At 40.5% G+C, this 22,061-nt stretch overlaps 1 protein-coding gene and 1 pseudogene across 14 annotated transcripts in view, besides 3 other annotated features; both read right to left on the bottom strand.

Annotated features, from left to right (window-relative positions):
- The window catches only part of FBXO34 (F-box protein 34), a 171,629-nt gene that overhangs the window by 129,313 nt on the left and 20,255 nt on the right, over window positions 1-22,061 (bottom strand). The window contains exon 1 of one of the 14 annotated variants that reach the window (XM_017021393.3): window positions 6,337-9,507. The exons of the other annotated variants lie outside the window; for them this stretch is intronic. The gene's annotated coding sequence lies outside the window, so the exon portion shown is untranslated. Of the gene's footprint in view, window positions 1-6,336; window positions 9,508-22,061 lie in introns of those variants that run through there. 14 annotated transcript variants of the gene reach the window in all.
- Window positions 10,986-11,085: an enhancer, noted in NCBI's record as "active region_8430". NCBI's record gives its function as "activates an Ori minimal core promoter by ATAC-STARR-seq in GM12878 lymphoblastoid cells {active_cell/tissue: GM12878}" and the evidence as "EXISTENCE:reporter gene assay evidence [ECO:0000049][PMID:35858748]".
- Window positions 11,136-11,195: an enhancer, noted in NCBI's record as "active region_8429". NCBI's record gives its function as "activates an Ori minimal core promoter by ATAC-STARR-seq in GM12878 lymphoblastoid cells {active_cell/tissue: GM12878}" and the evidence as "EXISTENCE:reporter gene assay evidence [ECO:0000049][PMID:35858748]".
- Window positions 11,672-11,966: a silencer, noted in NCBI's record as "tiled region #9702; HepG2 Repressive non-DNase unmatched - State 8:EnhW". NCBI's record gives its function as "represses a minimal TATA promoter and a strong SV40 promoter by Sharpr-MPRA in HepG2 cells {active_cell/tissue: HepG2}" and the evidence as "EXISTENCE:reporter gene assay evidence [ECO:0000049][PMID:27701403]".
- On the bottom strand, window positions 14,241-15,129 carry CHMP4BP1 (charged multivesicular body protein 4B pseudogene 1; annotated as a pseudogene).

Here is a 22,061-nt window from a genome sequence, read left to right as displayed (position 1 = left end):
GATCTGATGGTTTTGTAAGTGTTTGGTAGCTCCTCCTGCATTCATTCTCCCAACTGCCACATTGTGAAGAAGGTGTCTGCTTCTTCACCTTGTGCCATGATTGTAAGTTTCCTGTGTTCGCCCAGCCATGTGAAACTGTGAGTCAATTAAACCTCTTTCCTTTATAAATTACCTAGTTTCAGGCAGTTTTTTTTACAGCAATGTGAGAACAGACTAATACAGTAAATTGATATCAAGAGTGGGGCACCGCGCTATAAAAATACCCGACAATGTGGAAGCAATTTTGGAACTGGGTAACAGGCAAAGGTTGCAACAATTTGGAGGACTCAGAAGAAGACATGAAGATGTGGGAAAGTTTGGAACTTCCTAGAAACTTGCTGAATGGCTCTGACCAAAATGCTGATAGTGATATGGTCAATGAAGTCCAGGATGAGGTGGTCTCAGATGAAGAGGAGGACTTATTGAGAACTGGAATAAAGGTGACTCTCAGTATGTTTTAGCAAAGAAACTGGTAACATTTTGCCCCTACCTTAGAGATCTGTGGAACTTTGAACTTGAGACAGATGATTTAGAGTATCTCGTAGAAGAAATGTTTACGCCGCAAAGCTTAGGAGGTGACTTGGATGCTCTTAAAAGCATTCAGTTCTAAGCATTCACAAAGAGATGGTTTGGAATTGGAACTTAAGTTTAAAAAGGAAGCAGAGCATAAAAGTTTGGAAAATTTGCAGCCTGATGATGTGACAGAAAAGAAAAAACCATTTTCTGAGGAGAAATTCAAGCCAGCTACAAAAATGTGCATAAGTAACAAGGAGCCAAATGTTAATTGCTAAGATGATGGGGAAAATGTCTCCAGGGCATGCCAGAGGTCTTCACAGCAGCCCCATCCCATCACAGGCCTGGAGGCCCAGGAGGAAAAAATGGTTTCCTGGGCCAGGCCCACAGCCTTGTTGCTTTGTGCAGTCTCAAGACTTGGTGCCCCGCATCCCCACTGGGGTGAAAATGGAGCAACGTACAGCTCAGGCCATTACTTCAGAGGGTGCAAGCCCCAAGCCTTGGCAGCTTACACATGGTGTTGGGCCTGCAGGTGCACGAAAGTCAAGAATTGAGGTTTGAGAACCTCCACCTAGATTTCAGAGGATGTATGGAAACATCTGGATGATCAGGCAGAAGTTTGCTGCAGGGTGGAGCCCTCATGGAGAACCTCTGCTAGGGCAGTGCGGAAGGGAAATGTGGGGTTGAAGCCCCCACACAGAGTCTCCACTGGGGTACTGCCTAGTTGAGCTGTGAGAAGAGGGCCACCATCCTCCAGACCCCAGAATGGTAGGGCCACTGACAGCTTGTACCGTGCTTCTAGAAAAGCCATAGATACTCAAGACCAGCCCGTGAAAGCCTCTGGGAAGGGGGCTGTACCCTGCAGAGCCACAGGTGGAGCTGCCCAAGGCCATGGGAGCCTAAATCTTGCATCAGTGTGACCTGGATGTGAGACATGGAGATCATTTTGGAACTTTAAGGTTTTTTGTTTGTTTGTTTGTTTTGAGACAAAGTCTCACACTGTGTCTCCCAGGCTGGAGTGCAGTGGTGTGATCTCAGCTCACTGCAACCTCCACCTCCCAGGTTCAAGTGATTCTCCTGACTCAGCCTCCCAAGTAGCTGGGATTACAAGCGCATGCCACCACACCCAGCTAATTTTTGTATTTTTAGTAGAAACGGAGTTTCACCATGTTGGTCAGGCTGGTCTCGAACGCCTTACCTCGTGATCTGCCTGCCTCAGCCTCCCAAAGTGCTGGGGATTACAGACGTGAGCCACTGCACCTGGCCAGAACTTTAAGATTTAATGAATAATTAGCTGGGCATGGTGGTGGGCACCTGTAATCTCAGCTACTTGGGAGGCTAAGGCAGGAGAATTTCTTGAACCCAGGAGGTGGAGGTTGCAGTGAGCTGAGATTATGCCACTGCACTCCAGCCTGGGCAACAAGACCAAAACTCCCTCTCAAAAAAACAAACAACAAAATAAAAAAAAGGATTTAATGACTGCCCAGCCAGATTTTGGACTTACATGGGACCTGCAGGCCCTTTGTTTGGGCTAATTTCTCTCACTTGGAACAGGAACATTTACCCAATGCCTGTATCCGATCCACTGTATCTTGGAAGTAACTAACTTGCTTTTGATTTTACAGGCTGCTAGGTGGAAGGGACTTGCCTCATCTCACATGACACTTTGGACTTGGACTTTAGAGTTAATGCTGGAGTGAATTAAGACTTTGGGGGGCTGCTGGGAAGGCATGATTGGCTTTGAAATGTAAAAGGGACATGAGATTAGGAAGGGCCAGGAAAACAATGATATGGTTGGGCTTTGTGTTCCCACCCAACTCTTATCTTGAATTATAATCCCCATAATCCCCACATGTCAAGGGAGAGAGCAGGTGGAAGTAACAATCATGGGGCAGTTTCTCCCATGCTGTTCTCATGTTAGTGAATGAATTATCACGAGATCTGATGGTTTTGTGTTTGCTAGTTCCTCCTGTGTTCCTTCTCCCTCCTGCCACATTGTGAAGAAAGTATCTGCTTCACCTTCCACCATTGAGTTTCCTGAGTCCTCCCAAGTCATGTGGAACTGTGAGTCAATTAAACCTCTTTCCTTTATAAATTACAGTCTCAGGCAGTTTTTTTGCAGCAGTGTGGACTAATACAATATGTAAATTGCAACATGCAGTATATTGTTTTAATGCAATCAAACAGCATTTGTTCTTATTTTGTCTTTATATATGTCAGGTTGGATGTTTTTTTTTTTCCTTGCAGTGATAGGTTGACTCTTATGTAGCTAGAAAAGTTAGTGTGGTCAGAGTTTATAAAACAGTTCAGATAAGAAAACGCTATCACATCTTGTATTTACCTCCAAACTGGATGATGGTCATCATAGGATGTTTAAGAAATTTGCTTAGCAAAGAGAATTGAGGCAATCTGCAAATAGATATAGTCCAGCCAAGGCAGATACACATGTTTTCACTTACTCCCTTAAGAGTGATTCGATTTGTATGGATTTGGTATAGAATCATTTCTGGATTTAAGGAAAACTAAACAAGGTTTTACAGCTTATTATGTTGGCAGGCAGGCAGGCAGGCATGAAGAAACCCTAATCTAAAAGATTCCTTGTACACTTAAAATTGAGGTAGGACAGACATACCTGAAGGCATAGTCTACATTTCTCATCTTCATTCTTCCTAATGAGGCCAAAAATTATCCTGTCTCCATTATTAATCAGTAAATCCTGGTTTGGTGGTGTGACCTGCAGATCCATGAGCACTCCCCACTTCCACTCTAACACCAGTAAAATACTCTCCTGGCATGAAATGCTACTTGAATTTTTCTCTCAACTGGCAACAAAAGTAACCTGCTACTAGCATTTCTCTTTTTCTCAAAGCCAAATTAAATTTTGCCAATTTGCACAGAGAACAAACATACTTCCACATTAATAGCTATTACCAACTTGGTCTTATTCAAACCTTTATGTTCACACTCCAGTACTTTGGGTAAACAGTACTAATCTCTTCTCCATTCTAGATAGCTCACAGGCTTCAAGGAAGTTCATCTGGTTTCTTGCTACCTCCATCCATCCCCATCTCAACCTTCCCAAAAAAGCAACTCAAGTTTTTTGTTTTGTTTTTGAAACAGCTTACTTTTTCCATCCTGAGTTTTCCAAACTATTTCAGGGTTCTGACAATTCTGCCTGTGACTAAGTCTTCTCCTGGGAATAGCTGCCTCATTATCACTATTAAAAACAGTCACTCCTAATACTGACTGATAAGGATCAGAAAACTCATTGTAACTCAATGCAAATCCCACCCTACCCAATCTAAAGATAAATGCATTACGAATGGAATAACAGGCTCACCAAAGGACAGAACTCCAGTGGTCTTTGTGTCACAATGAAGCTACTGAGTTTTGTATGTATTTCTAATTATTACAAATATGAAGAAATTATTACCATTTCTTCCCTCATAACCAGTTAGTATGTAAATTACTAACAGTCAAGCAAGCAAAAAAATAAAAAACAGACACACAAAAACTCAGCAGTGAATGCACTAATGTTTTTAAAGTAATGCAGCCTTCCAAATGATTTTCTGTTTCAGAAATAATTTTATGCAGTACATGTGTTGTGTGGGTAACTTTTGTTCTTGGCAAGCTAGTCCTCCTGCTTGAAAAATCAGATAAGTTTAAAAAAGAGGTCTTCTCCTAACCCCTCAAATGGAACAACTGCTTAGAAGCTTAATTCTTGCAAAAAGGATATCCAAATAATCATAAATTTATTTTTATCATCATTTTGCTCTATCTAGCTTGCTCAGTACTAGAGGAAGGTGACACAATCATAGCCCATCGTTCTGGAAACCTGAGACATTGCTGTAGAGACATCTCCCCCATCCACACACCGCCACACTCCTGCAAAAAAACCAGCAGTGTCCAAAAAGTTTTTTTCACATCAACCTTGGCCATTCTGTATTCATAGGAATATTTAACTTTGTTCCATAAACTCTTCTGGAAGTGTGTAAAGACTATAAACTCCCATAATACTTTTTTGAAGCAAAAAGTGTATACCCACACACACAGAATACCAATTATATTAAAATACAGTTAAAATAGTTTCAAAAACTAATGATATTAAATACATGTTTGTCTTTTTAACATATTAAATAAGCTCTAATAACAAGTCTACTAGTTACCATAATTTCTAAATTGTGATCAACACAAATGATATTTTCATGATGTCTGCAAGAACTACACTGTAATAAGAAAATAGCTGTGATTTCTGTTGATGACAAAATCACAGGTACTGGTAGTACTGCAGTGGTTAGAAAGAAATGCTACATTTCAGTCAGAGACCAGCAAAAATAAGTAACTTTTTTCTCAAATTCACAGACCTCTGAAGCTTTTAAACCATAATCATTCTCAAGCATTTAAAGAGGTACTGAGAGCTCTTGGTTCAAACTCCTCATTTTAAAGATGAGGGAATTAAGGAGGAATTTGATGATATTGCTTGCCTAGAGTATCTTGATTCCAAATCAGGAATCACTGGGTATTGTTTACAGTAAACCACTGTTTTCTTCTGAAAACCTGAACCTCAAATCTAGCAATACTTGGCAGTTACAATAGAGAGTAAAGAACAATATACTTCAAGGTAAGAAAACCTATTATAGTTTCTGTGTGCACCTCAGTTTCATCATCTGTAAAATAAAGATAATTAACCCGACTATGGAAGAACCTTAACATGAAAACCAAATTTTAAAATCCATGTTAAGTACTACAGCGAGGCAAGGCTGTTAATAAATTACATGAGAAATTGGACAAGTTATTCTTTTTCCTTAGTGTACTTTAAGTATCATCAAATACTGGTTTATTTCATACATTAAATACCTTTAAAACTATCCAGTAGATCTCCTGAAGAACAAACTGACCTTAGTAATAAGTCTCTTCAAATGAAAAATATGTTTAGAACAAAAAACTAGCTTTGGAGTCAGATATGTGCCTGTAATAAAATATATGCCTGCAATTCTATGCAAAATGCTTGTTTTCTCTGACCCTCTGTATTAGTCTGTTCTCGCACTACTAATCACAATCATAGCAGGTGAATGAGGTGCAAAGTCACTCTTACACGGCAACACGCAAGAGAGCTTGTGCAGGAGAATCCCATTTATAAAACCATCGGATCTCGTGAGACTTATTACCACGAGGAGAACAGTATGGGAGAAACCTGCCCTCATGATTCAATTATCTCCACCTGGCCCTATCCTTGACACATGGGGATTATTACAATTCAAGGTGAGATTTGGGTGGGGGCACAGCCAAACCATTTCATCCTCCATTTCTGAATCAGTAAAATGGGAATAAATGCTAACAGTCATATGAGAGCATGAAGGTCATTAAATGTCAGTCCCCTTCTCTTAAAAGGTATCCATGACAAATATATAATTTAGAGGTAACCTCCTAAAGCAACAAGGAAACTTTTCTAATTTCTGCATTATATTTACTTTTTCCTCCATCACTTGATAAAGTTATTTTAAATCAGAATCAAGTAGGACACAAAAAAACCTTTGCTCATGTCAGTAGGTTATCTCTCAGCAACTTAAACACTCAAATCGCCAGCCATTCTTTCTACCTTGTTTATAAAGAAATTACAAGGTAAAGATGTGCAGTGAAGTAAAGGGATTATAACCAAATTTCTAAACCAGACAGAAGTAAATAAACATTTGGAGGACAAGAGTCACACAAAATAATTTAACAGCTTAAGTGTTTAATCACAGAAGTGGGGGAAAAAATGCCAACAGCAGCAAGGCCACTCACCTTCTTCCCGCACATTGTTTTGCTTGCCTCCACGAAAAGAATTCAAAGAGGTCCGCTTAAAGTTGCAGTGACAAATATGCAAACACATTTTAGTTGACTAGAAAAACATACTGAAAATACAGTAGGTAGTCCAGAGAACACAAAAGGCTAGTAGTACAAAGCAGATCTGCTAAACAGAGGGGCGGAAAAAAGAACCATTATCTGTCATGCCCTCCTGTCACACCCTTTTATTTGTAGCCATAACTGCAAGCTGTTTTAAAGACAATGGCAATGTGATTAAGGGTACCTTCATGCTGTGCCAAAGCACATATACATAGCAATTCAGAACAATCAGTCTTACTTTCATGAGAGCAAAGGGTGAGCCAAATGAAATGGGTGGATACCATATTAAACAATCTCGGAATTAGCTAATAGGATATAGGAAAAAATGATTCCAATGCAGATGCTAAGTTCCCTTCCTCCTTTACACAATAAAAATTTTTATTATTTGAAAAGCACTACTTGAGAAAGGTTTCCATTTAGTAAGACCTAAATATGGCCTGTTTTTTGTTTTGTTTTGTTTTGTTTTGAGATGGAGTCTCGCTTTGTCACCCAGGCTGAACTGCCGTGATGCAATCTAAGCTCACTGCAACCTCCACCTCCCAGGTTCAAGTAATTCTCCTGCCTCAGCCTCCCGAACAGCTGGGATTACAGGCGTGTGCCACCACGTCTGGCTAGTTTTTGTATTTTTAGTAGAGACAGGGTTTCGCCATGTTGGCCAGGCTGGTCTCCATCTCCTGACCTCAAGTGATCTGCCCCCTCGGCCTCCTAAAGTGCTGGGATTACACGCGTGAGCCACCACACCCAGCCAGCCTGTTTTTAAACAAAAGTTTGAAAGACCACGTACTATTTCCTTCTATAATTTGTTAACTTAAAATATATGCACTGGATACTGGATCTGACATCATGTAATTTTCAAAATGACGCTGTGTAGAAATGACTTTAGTGGAAAACTTTAAAAACATATAAGCATTGCAACTCTAAAGAAAACCACTTGTTTCACAAACAATAGAAGTGCAAACTGAATGAAGCCAACAAGTAACAACATAAAGGCTAATGTGTGGTTTGTTGTGGGTTTCTACTGCTTTTATTCCTTAGGAAACAAATTACTCTCTCATATGGTTTCCCTGACTCCATTTTCCCTAATCATAATGAAGTCCAAAACATTTAGCAATTAAGCAACTTTTTGGAAGTTTAGTGTTCACATAACTCAACTTCATGGCTTACTACAAACTCAAACTGAGCATAAACTCAAATTGTTTTTAATGACTGGGAAAAGAGGAGGACTATGTATTATATACATGCACACATATTTAAGTAGGCCTTTAAGATAGAATGTAAAGTTCAGTTGATCAAACATTGAACTATTTTACTACTAGACCACACAGGTTTAAAATGTGATACTTTCTCATTGTGGCTCTGTTGACAGGCTTCAGAGCAAAAATCAGAAAGGAGATGAAAAACCAGCCTCAACAATGATAAATCATGACTTTACAGCCAAATCAGTGTACCCTTATACACAGATACAGTACTTGCAGTAACCGGGAGAAATGTGGGGGATAAAATTCAGATCGGGAAAAATCCTGCTATTGAGCTAATTCAGTAAAAATTTTTATAACGTAATTTTATTGCTGACTTTCCCCCTCACCTGTACGACTCCTGTTGTAGAGGCTTTAAGACTTTTTTTTTTTTTTTTGAGGAGTGCAGTGGCACGATCTCGGCTCACTACAACCACTGCCTCCTGGGTTGAAGCTATTCTGCCTCAGCCTCCCGAGTAGCTGGGGACTACAGACACGCACTACCACACCTGGCTAATTTTTGTATTTTTTGGTGGAAATGGGGTTTCACCATGTTGACCAGGCTGGTCTCGAACTCCTGACCTCAAGTGATCCACTCGCCTCAGCCACCACGCACCGCACCCGGACTAAGACTTTTTTTTTTTTTTTTTGAGATGCAGTCCCACTCTGTCACCAGGCTGGAGTGCAGTGGTGCAATCTTGGCTCACTGCAACCCCCACCTCCCGGGTTCAAGTGATTATTCCCCTGCCTCAGCCTCCTGAGTAGCTGGGACTACAGGTGCGCACCACCATGCCCAGCTAACTTTTTTTATTTTAGTAGAGACAGGGTTTCACCCATGTTGGCCAGGATGGCCTCAATCTCCTGACCTCATGATCCACCCGCCTCGACCTCCTGAAGTGTCGGGATTATAGGCATGAGCCATCAGGCCCGGCCAAGACTCATTTTTGAAATAGTCTTTTTCAGTTGCAATTCCAATCACTAATTAGGATTTTTATTTGAGGTTAGTTAAATGCTGGTGTGAGAGAAATCTATTGCTCAAACTAAACTGAAAGGGAAGTTGATTAAAAGGGGAGTTCAGCAACTCCTGCCCTAATGTACTCTAAGAATAGGAACAGACTATGATAATTTTCACCAAAAAGTACAAAAACAAAATAGGTTAAAAACATATTTTAAATAAATCTTTTTAAAAAAGATTTTGAAAAACCAAACCTGTTTCATAGAGCTCCAAACCTAGAAAGATTATTACAATAAAAATGGGCTAGGGTGGGTTGGGCACAATGGCTCAAGCCTATAATCAACACTTTGGGAGGCTGAGGCGGGAGGATCACTTGAGGCCAGGAGTTCGAGACCAGCCTGGAAAACACAGCAAGACCTCATCTCTACTAAAAATGTAAAAATTAGCTGGGCACAGTGGTATGTACTTGTGGTCCCAGCTACTCCAGAGGCTGAGGCAGAGGATCACCTGAGCCCAGGAGTTTGACCTTACAATGAGCTAAGATCATGTCACTGCACTCCAGCCTGAGTGACAGAGCAAGACCTTGTCTCAAAAATGGAAAAGCAGGGTGAGGGACTGGCTGGCTGCTATGGCTCATGCCTATAATCCAAGCATTCTGAGGCTGAAGAGGGAGGACTGCTTGAGGCCAGGAGTTTTATACCAGCCCGGGCAACATAGTGAGATCCTGTCTCTACAAAAAAATCTTAAAAATTAAAAAAAAAGTAAAAGAGAAAGATTTTCAAGGATGAGAATAACCATGATGGTGTTAATGAATTAAGGAGCTGGTGTTTCAAGTACTGAAAATAATCTGCTATTCCTAACATAAAAAGTACAGCACTCAATACATGGTAGAGTTTTTACTGTTTTTAATGATAGAAATGAGGTTACCATAGTAAAAGCTAAAATCACAAGCATAAACATAGACTTAGAGCTAGTTTCATTAGAATTAAGATATATGCTAACTCATACTAAACAATTTCATCACTTTAACCGCACACATGTCACTGTAACTAAGCAATAAATCCAAACACTATTCTTTCCCTCTATCAGATGGCTTATTTCTGATGTAAAATCACTATTACAAGGGACACAAAACAGAGGGCTTCCCAGTAAGTCGTGAAACATTCTTTACATCAGTCCCAGAAGAACCACATAAATCACAATAATCAAGGGGAACTGAAATTGACTCTCTATTCACCTCCCTTGCATCTGGACACTCTCATTTCTTCTTAGGCAGTAACATGGTCCTGGTACATACACATGGCTTCCTGGCCTCCACACTCACAACACTTGTCTGAACCTGCTGAGTTCATAACATCATTCTCCCTCTTTCACAAAAGTTACTATTTTTATTAAGGGGGAGTGGGAAGCAAAATGAGGAAGAAGGAAATAAAGGGTTTTTTTTTTAAAAAGAAAGAAAAGTATGTTCCCATAAATTCCCAGAAACTTTACAACTATTAAAAAAAAAAAAAAGATAAGAATGGGAGAGGGGAGTTGTCCTAGCTACCAAATTCTACTTTGTGATACTTGATAAAAGTTGGTCTACTTAGTAAATTATGATATCATGACCTTAGATATACCCATTTACACATATAAGACTCTCACTCCTCCCAAAATTTTTAAAGCAAAATAGCATCTTAAGTCCTATAAAGCCTGGATTCTGCCCTAAGAGAAGCTACATCTTAGTTCTATGGCCTTGAGCATGTCACTATTTCTGAGTCTGACATTTCACAGAGTTGTGATGAGGATTAGATTACTTAGCAGAGTATCCAGCTGATACTATAATTATGCAGGTTCACTCTGTCTACTTTGTTCAAAGCAAATCAAAATTAGTGCTCCTTCTTGCATCATCTTTTTTCACAGCTGACAGTTCTTATAATGATGCTAACACACAGGGAGGCACTCAAAATTTAAAGAATAGCCAATGCTAAAAAAAAAAAAGGCCTGTAAAGAGAAATTAATGCACATTAAAACGCACTATTCTGTTTTCAGAATTTATTCCAGAAAGAGAAACTATCTTTGCCTAAATTAAAGATCTTTAGGAGGCAAAACACTGCTGCCAAGACTTGCTCACCTCAGTAGTATTCAATCCCATGATCGGCTGACAAGCCCTGACAACTGTTAGCCTCTTTACTACTTCCACTATTCACCAAAAAAAGGAAACACATCTAGTTCAAACCAAAGGCAAGTCCCTAATTCTTTGCCGCATTTGCCCCAAAACTACTTACATTAGTTTTTAAAAGATTTTCCAAAGAAGAAAACAGAATTTCTTAGTCTTTAACCAATTCTTCTCTAAACCCAAGAAACATCATAAAACTTGTTTCTGTATCTAGTAAGTAAGCACTTAGCACTACTTTCTAATTATAAAGCCTACTCTAGCCACAGAGTCTATGAGTAAAATAGCTACTAAAGAGAGTTTAAAAGGCTTGAAAAGACTCCTGTATCTCCATACTTCCCTGCCCCCGAACAAGATAATACGGGCCAAGTGCAGTGGCTCACACCAGTAATCCTAGCACTTTGGGAGGCCAAAGCAGGAGAACTGCCTGAGGCCAGGTGTTCCACACCAACCTGAGCAACATAGTGAGACCCTGCCTCAATTAAAAAAAAAAAAAAAAACAAAAAAGAGGCTACAGAGTCACTTGATGAGAACAAGGCTATTTAAAAATTTCTATTCTATTAACTGTCTAACATCATACAAACTTTGTACACAACCAGGCGAGGTAAACTAACAGATGACAATTATCCCAGGTCCAAATCTACCTATCTACCTATCTATCTCTATATAGCTGACAGAGAAATATATTCCAAAAAATCACCTCCATGTAATGTCCCGCTATTCAAACCTAGAAGTTCAGATGGAATACTCCTATCAGTAAACTGTTTTGAGGTCTCATAAAAGAAACTATCACTTAAGGAGCCAGGACTGCTGCTTTATTTTTGTTCTCAATCGACTTTACACATGTAACTTTGCAACCAGTTTGCCTTTCCTTGCTGCTAGAGCTACATTTGCATCTTTTGGAGAGTCTCCTTATTTGGTCCCAGTTCCCTATGGCCTCTGATCTGCCACTCTGCCTTGCTGGTAATCCAATTATCATTCTTCCTATATGCTTAGAACTGATCTAATGCCTATCTGCTGAATTGTACTATCTGCCAGACAGACACCAGAAGAGTAGGCATGGGGAGAGAGGCCAAGAAAAAGTAGACTGTGGTATGGTACACATGACATGACTCATCTGTTCTAACTGTTCCATAACCTGTCCTGACCAAGTGGCTCAGATAATACTGCCTGGCTCACTCTGACAGACTTGTTCTTGATCCCAATCAAACCCATTACACTGGGCATGACATCCCTGGCCACATGCCTTGTACCTAAAACTTTCTACTGAAGAGAGCAGAGTTTCACAATTAATTATGGACATACTTATAGAAAAGGAAATTAACATTCAAGTCTCCTCCCTAGATACTTTCTCACTCAAGACCTACCAAAGGCCACTGATATAAATACAGTAATGCCCTCATTTTACAGATGAGAAAACTATGGTACTTCACTATCTTCATGTTTAAGAAAATAAACCTAACAATGCTAGATGCTGTATAATATTAACAAAGAAGTTTTTCTTGTTTTTTTTTTTTGAGACAGAGTCTCACTTTGTCACCCAGGCTAGAGTGCAGTGGCACAATCACAGTTCACTGGAGCCTTGACCTCCTGGGCTCAGGTGATCCTCCCACCTCAGCCTCCCGAGTAGCTAGGAATACAGGCACATGCCACCACACCTGGCTAATTTTTGAATTTCTGTTGAGATGGAGGTCTCACTGTGTTGCCCAGGCTGGTCTCAAACTCCTGGAGACAACCAATCCTCCCCTCCTGGCCTCCCAAAGTGCTGTGATTACAGGCATGAGCCACCGTGCCCAGCCAAGAACACTCTTTTTAACATTGTCCTACAGAGCTGATTTTTCTTGTTCGTTCTATGAAAAGTAGTCCACTGTAGTAACAAGGAATTTGGTTTACAACTTCTAATTCACTGTCATTTCACCTTACAAATTCTCCTTTACCAAAAAGAAAACACCACACCTTAGTGACTGGCACCATGTGCTTTTGTAGTATTTAAATCAAATTCTAAAATTCACAAAAGAATAACCTTAGTATATTCAGAATTACAAGAACATTTAGTATGCTCATTGGGATATAAGGCTTAATAAAAACACATCATTCATTCTAGACAGAATAATTCCTTCTGGGGAAGATACCTAAAATACTGTGTGGGAAAATGACCGACATTTCATTACACAGACTTTTGAACTGTTTTAAATTTTACCATGTGCATATATATTATATGCTAAGCACACCTCTAGATTCAATCACCAATTTACAGGAAATACAGGACATAAGAACGTGTTGAACTGAACCACAGATGTAATCATTAAAATCCAGACTCTGAAAAACACTAGAACAAATAACGTGGTTTCTTTTTTTTGAGACGGAGTCTCGCTCTGTCGCCCAGGCTGGAGTGCAGTGTCACAATCTCAGCTCACTGCAACCTCCGCCTCCCGGATTCAAGTGATTCTTCTGCCTCAGCCTCCCGAGTAGCTGGGACTACAGATGCGTGCCACCAGGTCTGGCTAATTTTTGTATTTTTTTGTACTAGAGACAGGGTTTCACCATATTGGCCACGCTGGTCTGGAACTCCTGACCTCGTGATCCACCCGCCTCAGCCTCCTAAAGTGCTGGGATTGCAGGCGTGAGCCACCTCGCCCGGCCACAACGTGGTTTCTTGAACAAAAAACATTACCAAAGAGAGGTAGTAAAATGGACTATAGACTAAAGCCTAAAAATGGACCTATAAAGGGTTAGACTTAAAGGTCATTACCAACCAACTGCAAGGTAGAGACTTTATATGGATCCTGATTTAAACCATTACTAAAACTATGACATCTGAGACAAATGCAAATTTGAATACTAGATACTTGAAGATATTAAAGAATGAAGGGGTGATAATGGTATTGTGGATATATACATATGCAGATATAGTCTGTATCTTTAAAAGACAAGGATTCTTACTAGACTGCCAATGAAATAATATCCACTCTGGAATTTGCCTGAGAATAATTCAGGAGGGGGAAGTTGGAGGGGAACAGTTCAACCAAACTTGGGCATGATTTGATAATTTCCCCTCCTACATGAGTAGAGTGGTTGATAACTGTTGAAGCTGGGTGATAAGTACATGAGGGTTTCTTATACGGATTCCACCTACTTTTGTTTGAAAATTTCCATAGCAAGCTAGAAAGTCAAACATTTACAAAATATTTGTATGTAAATGAAGAAAAATGGGTCATTTAAAAGTGATAACCACAAACTTGAATGTATTTTAATATTTTCAATATTTATTTTAATATTTTAGATAATCAAAAGGAATCTGAGGATACTAAGACTCAGATCTAAGGCAACAGATCAATCTGTTAGTTTTGTTAGGTGGGGATAATGGCACTGTGGTTATGGGGGGAAAATATCTTTTTAAAAGACACATACCGATGTAATTAGGGCCAATATGACATATCTAGAATTTGCTTTTTTTTTGGATTTGCAAACACAGTTTATTTTACAGAAATTCAACATTATAAACAGCAGGCACTTCTCCCCCACAGCCCCCGTGCCCCGCAACCCCCCTCTACCCGCCCCCACCCATCCCACTAGGTGCAGACCATGCTATGCAGAGAGCGAGCAGCAATGCGGCCCTACTGCTTTGGAGTGAGAGTCGAGAGCGATGGAACCTGCCTGCACCACATCCATCCTGCCCGCGCTGGACCCAGCCCAGTTCTCCAAATCCTTCATGTCGTCGTCTTCCTCTTCTTGGCAGGTTTTGATGGTAGGGCTATAGAGGGAACATTTGGTAGAGGGACTGTTTCGGGGCCACTGACTTCCAGCAAATTCTTGTCTGGTTCCTCCTGTTCTAGTTCTTCTAATTCCGCCATGAGCTCATCCTCGTCAGACTTTTCTCCAAACCCTACAGGTTTCGAAATTGCTGTTGAAATCTCCTCCCCAAGTTCTTGCTGGTCAGCAATGTCCTGCATTAACTCATCAACTTTATCGATGTCCATGTTGTCGTGGGCCGCCTTCTTGGCCTTGGCTGCAGAGCCCATGTTCTTGAGCACCTCGGTATTGGTGTTGGCATTCTCCAGGGCCTGCTGCTGGAACTCGATGGTTGATAATGTACCGTCGATCTGCGCCAGCTGCTTCTCATACCTCTTCTTACGCTTCAGTGCCTGGAGGGCCGCGGGCTTGTTTTTGGTGCCGTGCCTCTGCTCGATTTTCTTCTCCAGGAACTCCTGTTTCTTGCTTAACATCTCCTCCGTGTCCCGCAGCCGCTGGATGGCCTCCTGGAGGGTCAGGCCGCCCTTGCCGGCCTTACCCCCTCCAGCCCCGAACAGCGCTCGCCGCGCCAGCCTTCAACGCCCGCTCCGGCTGGGCTCCGGCGCCCGCCCTCCTCCGCCTCCACCCTGCCAAATTTGCTTTTTTCAAAGATGAGGACAAGAAGTAGGTCAAATGTAGGGGTAGGATAAAACTGGTACAAACATAAGGGCTCACTGACTCTACTTCTGTGTATGTTTCCATTTTAAAAAGTAGTAATAACAGTAGCAGTAAAATAGATTTCAAGGACTTCCTCCACTCATCCAGGAGGGTAAAAAAAAAAAGAAATAATCCTAGTTCAAATAAGGGTCAAGTATGGGAGAAGTGGGAGGAACCACTACACCAGGGGTGTCCAATCTTTTGGCTTCCCTGGGCCACACTGAAAGAACTGTCTTGGGCCACACATAAAATACACTAACGATATTTGATGAGCTTAAAAAAAAACGCAAAAAAAAAAACTCACAGTGTTTTAAGAAAGTTTACAAATTTGTGTTGGGCAGTATTCAAAGCCACCACAAGCTGCAGGTTGGACAAGCGTGTGCTACACATTTAACTCACCTGAGTTTCACAAACACTCAGCAGAGGGCGTGGTGAGGGAAGTTTCAACAATGTTCCTCCACTTACTGGAATCAAAAAAAGTGTTTTGAGAAAAGAATTATTTCCTCCTGCCAGTCCTGCCCTAGACATCCATTTGTAAAGAAACTTTCAACATTTCTCAAGTCCAAGAAGTGGACGGTCAGTGTTTGTTTTGCATGGAACAAAGAAAGCTTCCCTAACATCCTAAGATGTACAATTCTGATTATACATACAGAGTTTCTGGGTGTGAAAACAGTATTTTTTCATTCCCGGTTTTTTGGCTGTGCTCCAAGATTTCTTTTTTTACCAAATAATCTTTAGTGAGATCCTTTCTTGGGAAGAAGTAGAGGGTTTTTCAAAGACTTTTATGAAAATATTTGCACATACACATAGATATACATTTTAGCATTTCATGTAATGATACCAAGTGTTCTTTGAGGTTCTAAAAAGAAAAATAATCTAAAATTACCTAATCCTATCAAAATTTCCAATAGAGGCTATCACTACCATATCTAAATCACATAATCGTTTTTGCTGGCAAAGAGAAAGGAAAATTAACATGCTCTGTGCACTTACTATATGCTAGGCATTTAACATGTATTTTAAACTAAATCTTCCTAACAACCCTAATAAGTGGGTAATATTATTGTCTAAATATTACAGATGAGAAAAATGGGGCACTGAGAGGCTAGTAAGGTGTTAACTTAGGGCACCAAATAGTAAATGGCAAAACCAGGATGTGAACCCTAGCAATCTGACTGCAACATTTGAACTACTCTGTGTTAATACTGACATAGGAGTTAAAAAGAAATTACTTGGGTAGATAGGGTACGGGAGTCCTCAGTAAGGTTTCCCTTTTAATGAAAAGCAGCCCCAAATCACTTTCCTAACAAAGAGCAGCCTATAAAATAGAGCTGCAGACATATATGCCGGCAGTTGTGCCAATCAGGTTCAAAATGGCGGCTCCATCTTCCCTTCTCTGCCAGCCACGTGTACTGTAAAGGGCAGCCAAAATGACGCCGGTCAAGGGGAAAGTACATTTGCATCCTAAGATTAGGGTGGGTCTTCCTACAATTGTAGATTCTAATTTACTCCCCTAAACTACTGTTTTAAAACAAATTAAAACTGATTTATATACTGGAGATAACCAGGTACAGTCTGAAGCTCCTTAGAACAGAACAAATATTTGCATGTTGGGAAATAAAATATATTTTTTTAGAAGACAAATGGCTAATTAAGGTTCAAAACTAATTCACATTAAAGAATCAGAATATTCTAGTCAAAATTTTAAATTAAAAATTGCTTTCTATAGTAGGTAGGGGAAGACTGTTTCCACTACTATAATTTTGTGTAAATTATGGGCAAGTTTTTCTTTTAAAAATCAAGAACAGCGGCCAGGCGCAGTGGCTCATGCCTGTATTCCCAGCACTTTGGGAGACCAAGGCAGGTGGATCACAAGGTCAGGAGTTCAAGATCAGCCTGGGCAATATGGTGAAACCCCATCTCTACTAAAAATACAAAAAAAATTAGCCGGGTGTGGTGGCAGGCGCCTGTAATTCCAGCTACTCGGGAGGCTGATGCAGGATAATTGCTTGAACCTGAAGGCAGAGGTTGCAGTGAGCCAAGATCAAGCCACTGTACTCCAACCTGGGCGACAGAGCGAGACTGTCTCAAAAAAAAAAAAAAAAAAAAAAAACAAAAAAAACACAAGAACAGCAAAACCTACCCACTGTCTACCCCTCTACTCCTTCACTAAATTATACTTCCTGTCCAGCTATACAGTTACAACTTTTGCCTTCCTGCTGAATCTAATTTTTAGGGATAAAGGGAGAACATAAAAATTCTGTCCCAAAAAGAAGCTAAACTCTTCCTGAACTAAGTCTAAGTAGTAGAAGAGATAATTAGGAGCCAACTCTGGCTTTATTTAAAATATATTTACTTTATTTAAATTAGCATTGGTTAACTTTAAAAAAAAGGGGGGGACTTGCTAAGGCTGGTCTTCAACTACAGGCATGAAAAGATCCTCCCAACCTCAGCCTCACAAGTAGCTGGGATTACAGGTGCAAGCCACTGTGCCTGACAGCATTGGTTAACTTTAACATAACATTACTGCTTCAGTCACAGCAGTCTCATTCAATCTAGTAAATCATGGGAAGCTAAAGCAAATAAAAGATAATGGTCTCTTTGTGACATTACTGTTCCACTAAGCTGTTCCTAATTTCTTTTTTACTTCAAAGTATTCTTTACTATAACAGGAAAGTGTTTTGTGTAGTGAAGTTCCTCTGTAAGACTGGCTGGATTTGAATTCCAGCTTCAACACTTACTAGCTAGACAAGGTGTTTAATGAATAATCAATTTTCTGCAAGAAAAAATGGCGAAGAATATTTACCTCAGCTGGGCGCAGTGGCTCATGCCTATAATCCCAGCACTTTGGGAGGCCGAGGCAGGCAGATCACTTGAGGCCAGGAATTCAAGACCAGCCTGGCCAACATGGCAAAACCCCGTCTCTACTAAAAATACAAAAAACTAGCTGGGCATGGTGGTGCATGCCTGTAATCCCAGCTACTCGGGAGGCTGAGGCTGGAGAATCGCTTGAGCCCAGAAGGTAGAAGATGCAGTGAGTCAAGATCACACCACTCCACTCCAGCCTGGGCAACAGACGAGAGACTCTGTCTCCAAAAAAAAAAAAAAAAAAAAAAATAGAAAAGAATATTTACCTCATAGAGCCATTATATAGAATAGATAATATACATAAAATGCTTAGCATAAGGCCTAGTCCACGTTAATAAATAAATAAAGCTAACTATTAACATTGTCACACCGCACTGTGCAGAAAGCTACCTCCAGTAGGAAAGGGATGTTCCATCTGGACACTATGGAACACATTCAAACCTAGAGGTTTTTTCCATTACAGAAGGTTCCCAATTTAGGATGGTTCAACTTATGACTTTTTGACTTTACGATGGCGCAAAAGTGATACACATTCAGTAGAAACTGCACTTCAAATTTTGATCTGCTTTTCCACTTTGAGTATTCAATAAAGTAAATGAGATATTCAGCACTTTATTACAAGGTAGGTTCTGCGTTAGATGATTTTATCCAACTGTTGACTAATGTTCATATTCTAAGAATGTTTAAGGTAGGCTAGGCTAAGCTATGATATTTGGTAGGTTAAATATATTAAATGCATTTATTTTCAACTGATTTATCGGGACGTAAGTCAAACAGCATTAACTAAACCACCACTGAAAGCAACTTCACCACAAAACCACTAGAAGACTGAGGCAGGTGATGTATTGGGCAAAGCAATATTCAGTCCTTTTCCACCAACAGAATATACAGTTCTTAAACTTAGCACAGCTGTGTTTGCCCCGGTGTAATTATGGAACACAGTAGTCTCCAAAAGCAAAATTTTAAAATTACTTTTTAAATAATGGAAATAATACTTTCAAATATAAGTATTTAAAATGTAAACTATTTTATAGCTAACTTTCTTACGTTATACCCTTTCTTCTCTTCACACATATAGCAAATGTTTTTTGAGGCCAGGCTCATGTCTATAATCCCAACACTCTGGGAGGCCAAGGCAGGTGGATCACTTGAGCCCAGGAGTTCAAGACCGGCCTGGGCAATGTGGCAAAACCCTGTGGTGTGCGTATGTACTCCCAGCTACTTGGGAGGTTGAAGTCAGAGGATCACTTGAACTTGGGAGGTCAAGACTGCAGTGTTCACACCACTGCACTCCAGCCTGGGAGACAGAGCCAGATCCTGTCTCAAAAAAAATAATAATAATTTTTTGAGCATCTATTAGGCACCTGGAATACAGTGAACAAATAGACAAAGCCCTCAAGGAACTAACATTCTGGTAGTAAGAGAGACAATAGTCATAATAAGTAAATTCTACAGAGCATGTTTCAAGGAGGTAACTGCTAAACAGACTAGGGTAAGGAAGCTTAGAAGTGCAAGCAAAGAGGGGCAGTTATAATTTTAAGTAGGGTGATCAGTACAGACTTAAGAAGGTGATAGATGAGAAAACATTTTAAGGAGGTAAGGAATGAAGATTTATCTAAGGAATAGCGTTCTAGACACAGGGAACAGCAAATGCAAATCCTAAGGAAAGCATATGCGTACCCGATTAACACCACCACCAATACCTAACAAATAAGCAAAAATGTCAGCCACTGCTGTTAAGTTTCTATATCCCTCTCTCCACACACACACACAAATCTGTGCTAGGGAAGGAAAAAAAAAAACCACACTTCATAAAAATTCATTCATTCAACAAATGTTTACTGAACAATACCCATGTGCTAGGTCCCACTTTCCGTGCTAAGGATACAGAAAAGAACATGACAGGCAATACTTTCTATTCTGTCACAGGAACCTTAGCAAAGAACCTGAGGTTGATCACAATGCCCATTTACTAAGCAATACTTTTTTCCTACTCCTTGGCTTATTAAGCCTTCATTGATTTAAAAAAAAAAAAAGCAGAGATTTACAGAAATCTTACCTCCAGATAAGTGAGACGATACTGTACTCAAAGTATCTCAAAGTCTCTATCTTCAGATTATAGATATCAGGCCCTTACAAAGTTTCTTTACCTAGTGCCAGGTACAGTGGCTTATGCCTGTAATCCCAGTGCTTTGGGAGGCCAAGGTAGGAAGAACCCTTGAGGTCAAAGTTCAAGACCAGCCTGGCCAACATGGCAAGGGTTAACCCCATCTTCTACTAAAAACACAAAAATTAGCTGGGTGTGGTGGCACACACCTGTAATCCCAGCTACTCGAGTGGCTGAGGCATAAGAATCATCTGAAACCAGCAGCGGAGCCTGCAGTGAGCCGAGATTGTGCCAATGCACCACAGCCTGGGTGGCAGAGTGAGAACCTGTCTCAGAAAAAAACAAGGCCGGGTGCGGGGTGGCTCACATCTGTAATCCCAGCACTTTGGGAGGCCAAGGCGAGTAGATCACCTGAGGTCAGGAGTTCGAGACCAGCCTGGCCAACATGGTGAAACCCCGTCTCTACTACCAATACAAAAATTAGCCGGGTGTGGTGGCACACGCCTGTAATCCCAGCTACTAGAGAGGCTGAGGGAGGAGAACTGCTTGAACCTGGGAGATGGAGGCTGCAGTAAGGTGAGATTGTGCCACTGCACTTCAGCCTCAGTGAAAGAGTGAGACTCCGTTTCAAAAAAAAAGGAGAAAAGTTTCTTTACCTAAAGAACTGACATTTTAAAAGTACTAACATCTACCCCTCCCTCTCACCCAGAAGAGCCAAAACATTGCTATTGGGAGTCTAATCTACTATGCCACAGTACCTATGGTAGCTAAGTAGGAGGTCTCTGCTATCTAAGACTTCATCAGGTGGTATGGGGAAAACATGCATATATATCCTTTCTTTTAATGCTCCCATTTCCTACTTTAAAAGTAAGTACAGGCCGAGCACAGTGGCTCACACCTGTAACGCCAGCACTTTGGGAGGCAGAAGGGTCTTGAGTCTAACAGTTAAGACCAGCCTGTGCAACATGGTGAAACCACATCTCTACTGAGAAAAATACAAAAATTAGCCAGGCATGGTGGTACACGCCTGTAGTCCCAGATACTCTGGAGGCTGAGGTGTGAGGATCACTTGAGCCTAGGAGGTAGAGGCTGCAGTGAGCTGTGTTGGCACCACCACACTCCAGCCTGAATGACAGAGCAAGACCCTGTCTCAAAAAAGAAAAAAAAAAATGTAAATACAGCTTATAATACTACCCAGTGGCATAGAAAATTACTATGAAGTTTTTCCTTAAGTCCCAACCAAAAGCTCATAGTTAAAAATATAATTAAGGACACTTAACATTCTATTTAAAAAATTACAGTTTAAGCAGAATACATATCATGTAATGTATCTGAACCCATTTAGCAATCAGAGAATAAAAAGAAAACACAACAAAAAATATTATATAAAAAGAACCAAAAAATATATATTACTTTCTTTTTCCCCATTAGGTTAAAGGGTACTTTAAGATCAGTTAAAAATATGTTTCTGAATGTTAAGAAATGTATGTGATAGAAAACAGGACCAAAGAAAATTAATGCTAAATTAACTTTATACATGAATTGATTTTTTTTCTTTTTTAAAGAAATGAGGTCTTACTTTGTCACGCAGGCTGGAGAGCGGTGGTGCAATGACAGCCCACTGTAACCTTGAACTCCTGGGCTCAAGCGATCCTCCCATCTCAGCCACCCCCACATAGCTGGGACTACAGGTGCACTCCACTATGCCCAGCTATTTTTTTTCTAAAGACAGGGTCTCCCTATGTTGCCTAGGGTGGTCTCAAACTTCTGGGCTCAAGCAATTCTCCTGCCTTGGCCTCCCAAAGCACTGGGATTACAGGTGCATGTCACTACACCTGTCTAATTTGTTGGGGT

The sequence above is a fragment of the Homo sapiens genome, chromosome 14 (assembly GCF_000001405.40).
Source record: "Homo sapiens chromosome 14, GRCh38.p14 Primary Assembly".
In the NCBI taxonomy this organism is placed as follows: domain Eukaryota; kingdom Metazoa; phylum Chordata; class Mammalia; order Primates; family Hominidae; genus Homo; species Homo sapiens.
The sequence above is the reverse complement of the archived record's forward strand: the minus strand, read 5'-3'. Positions and strand labels throughout refer to the sequence as shown.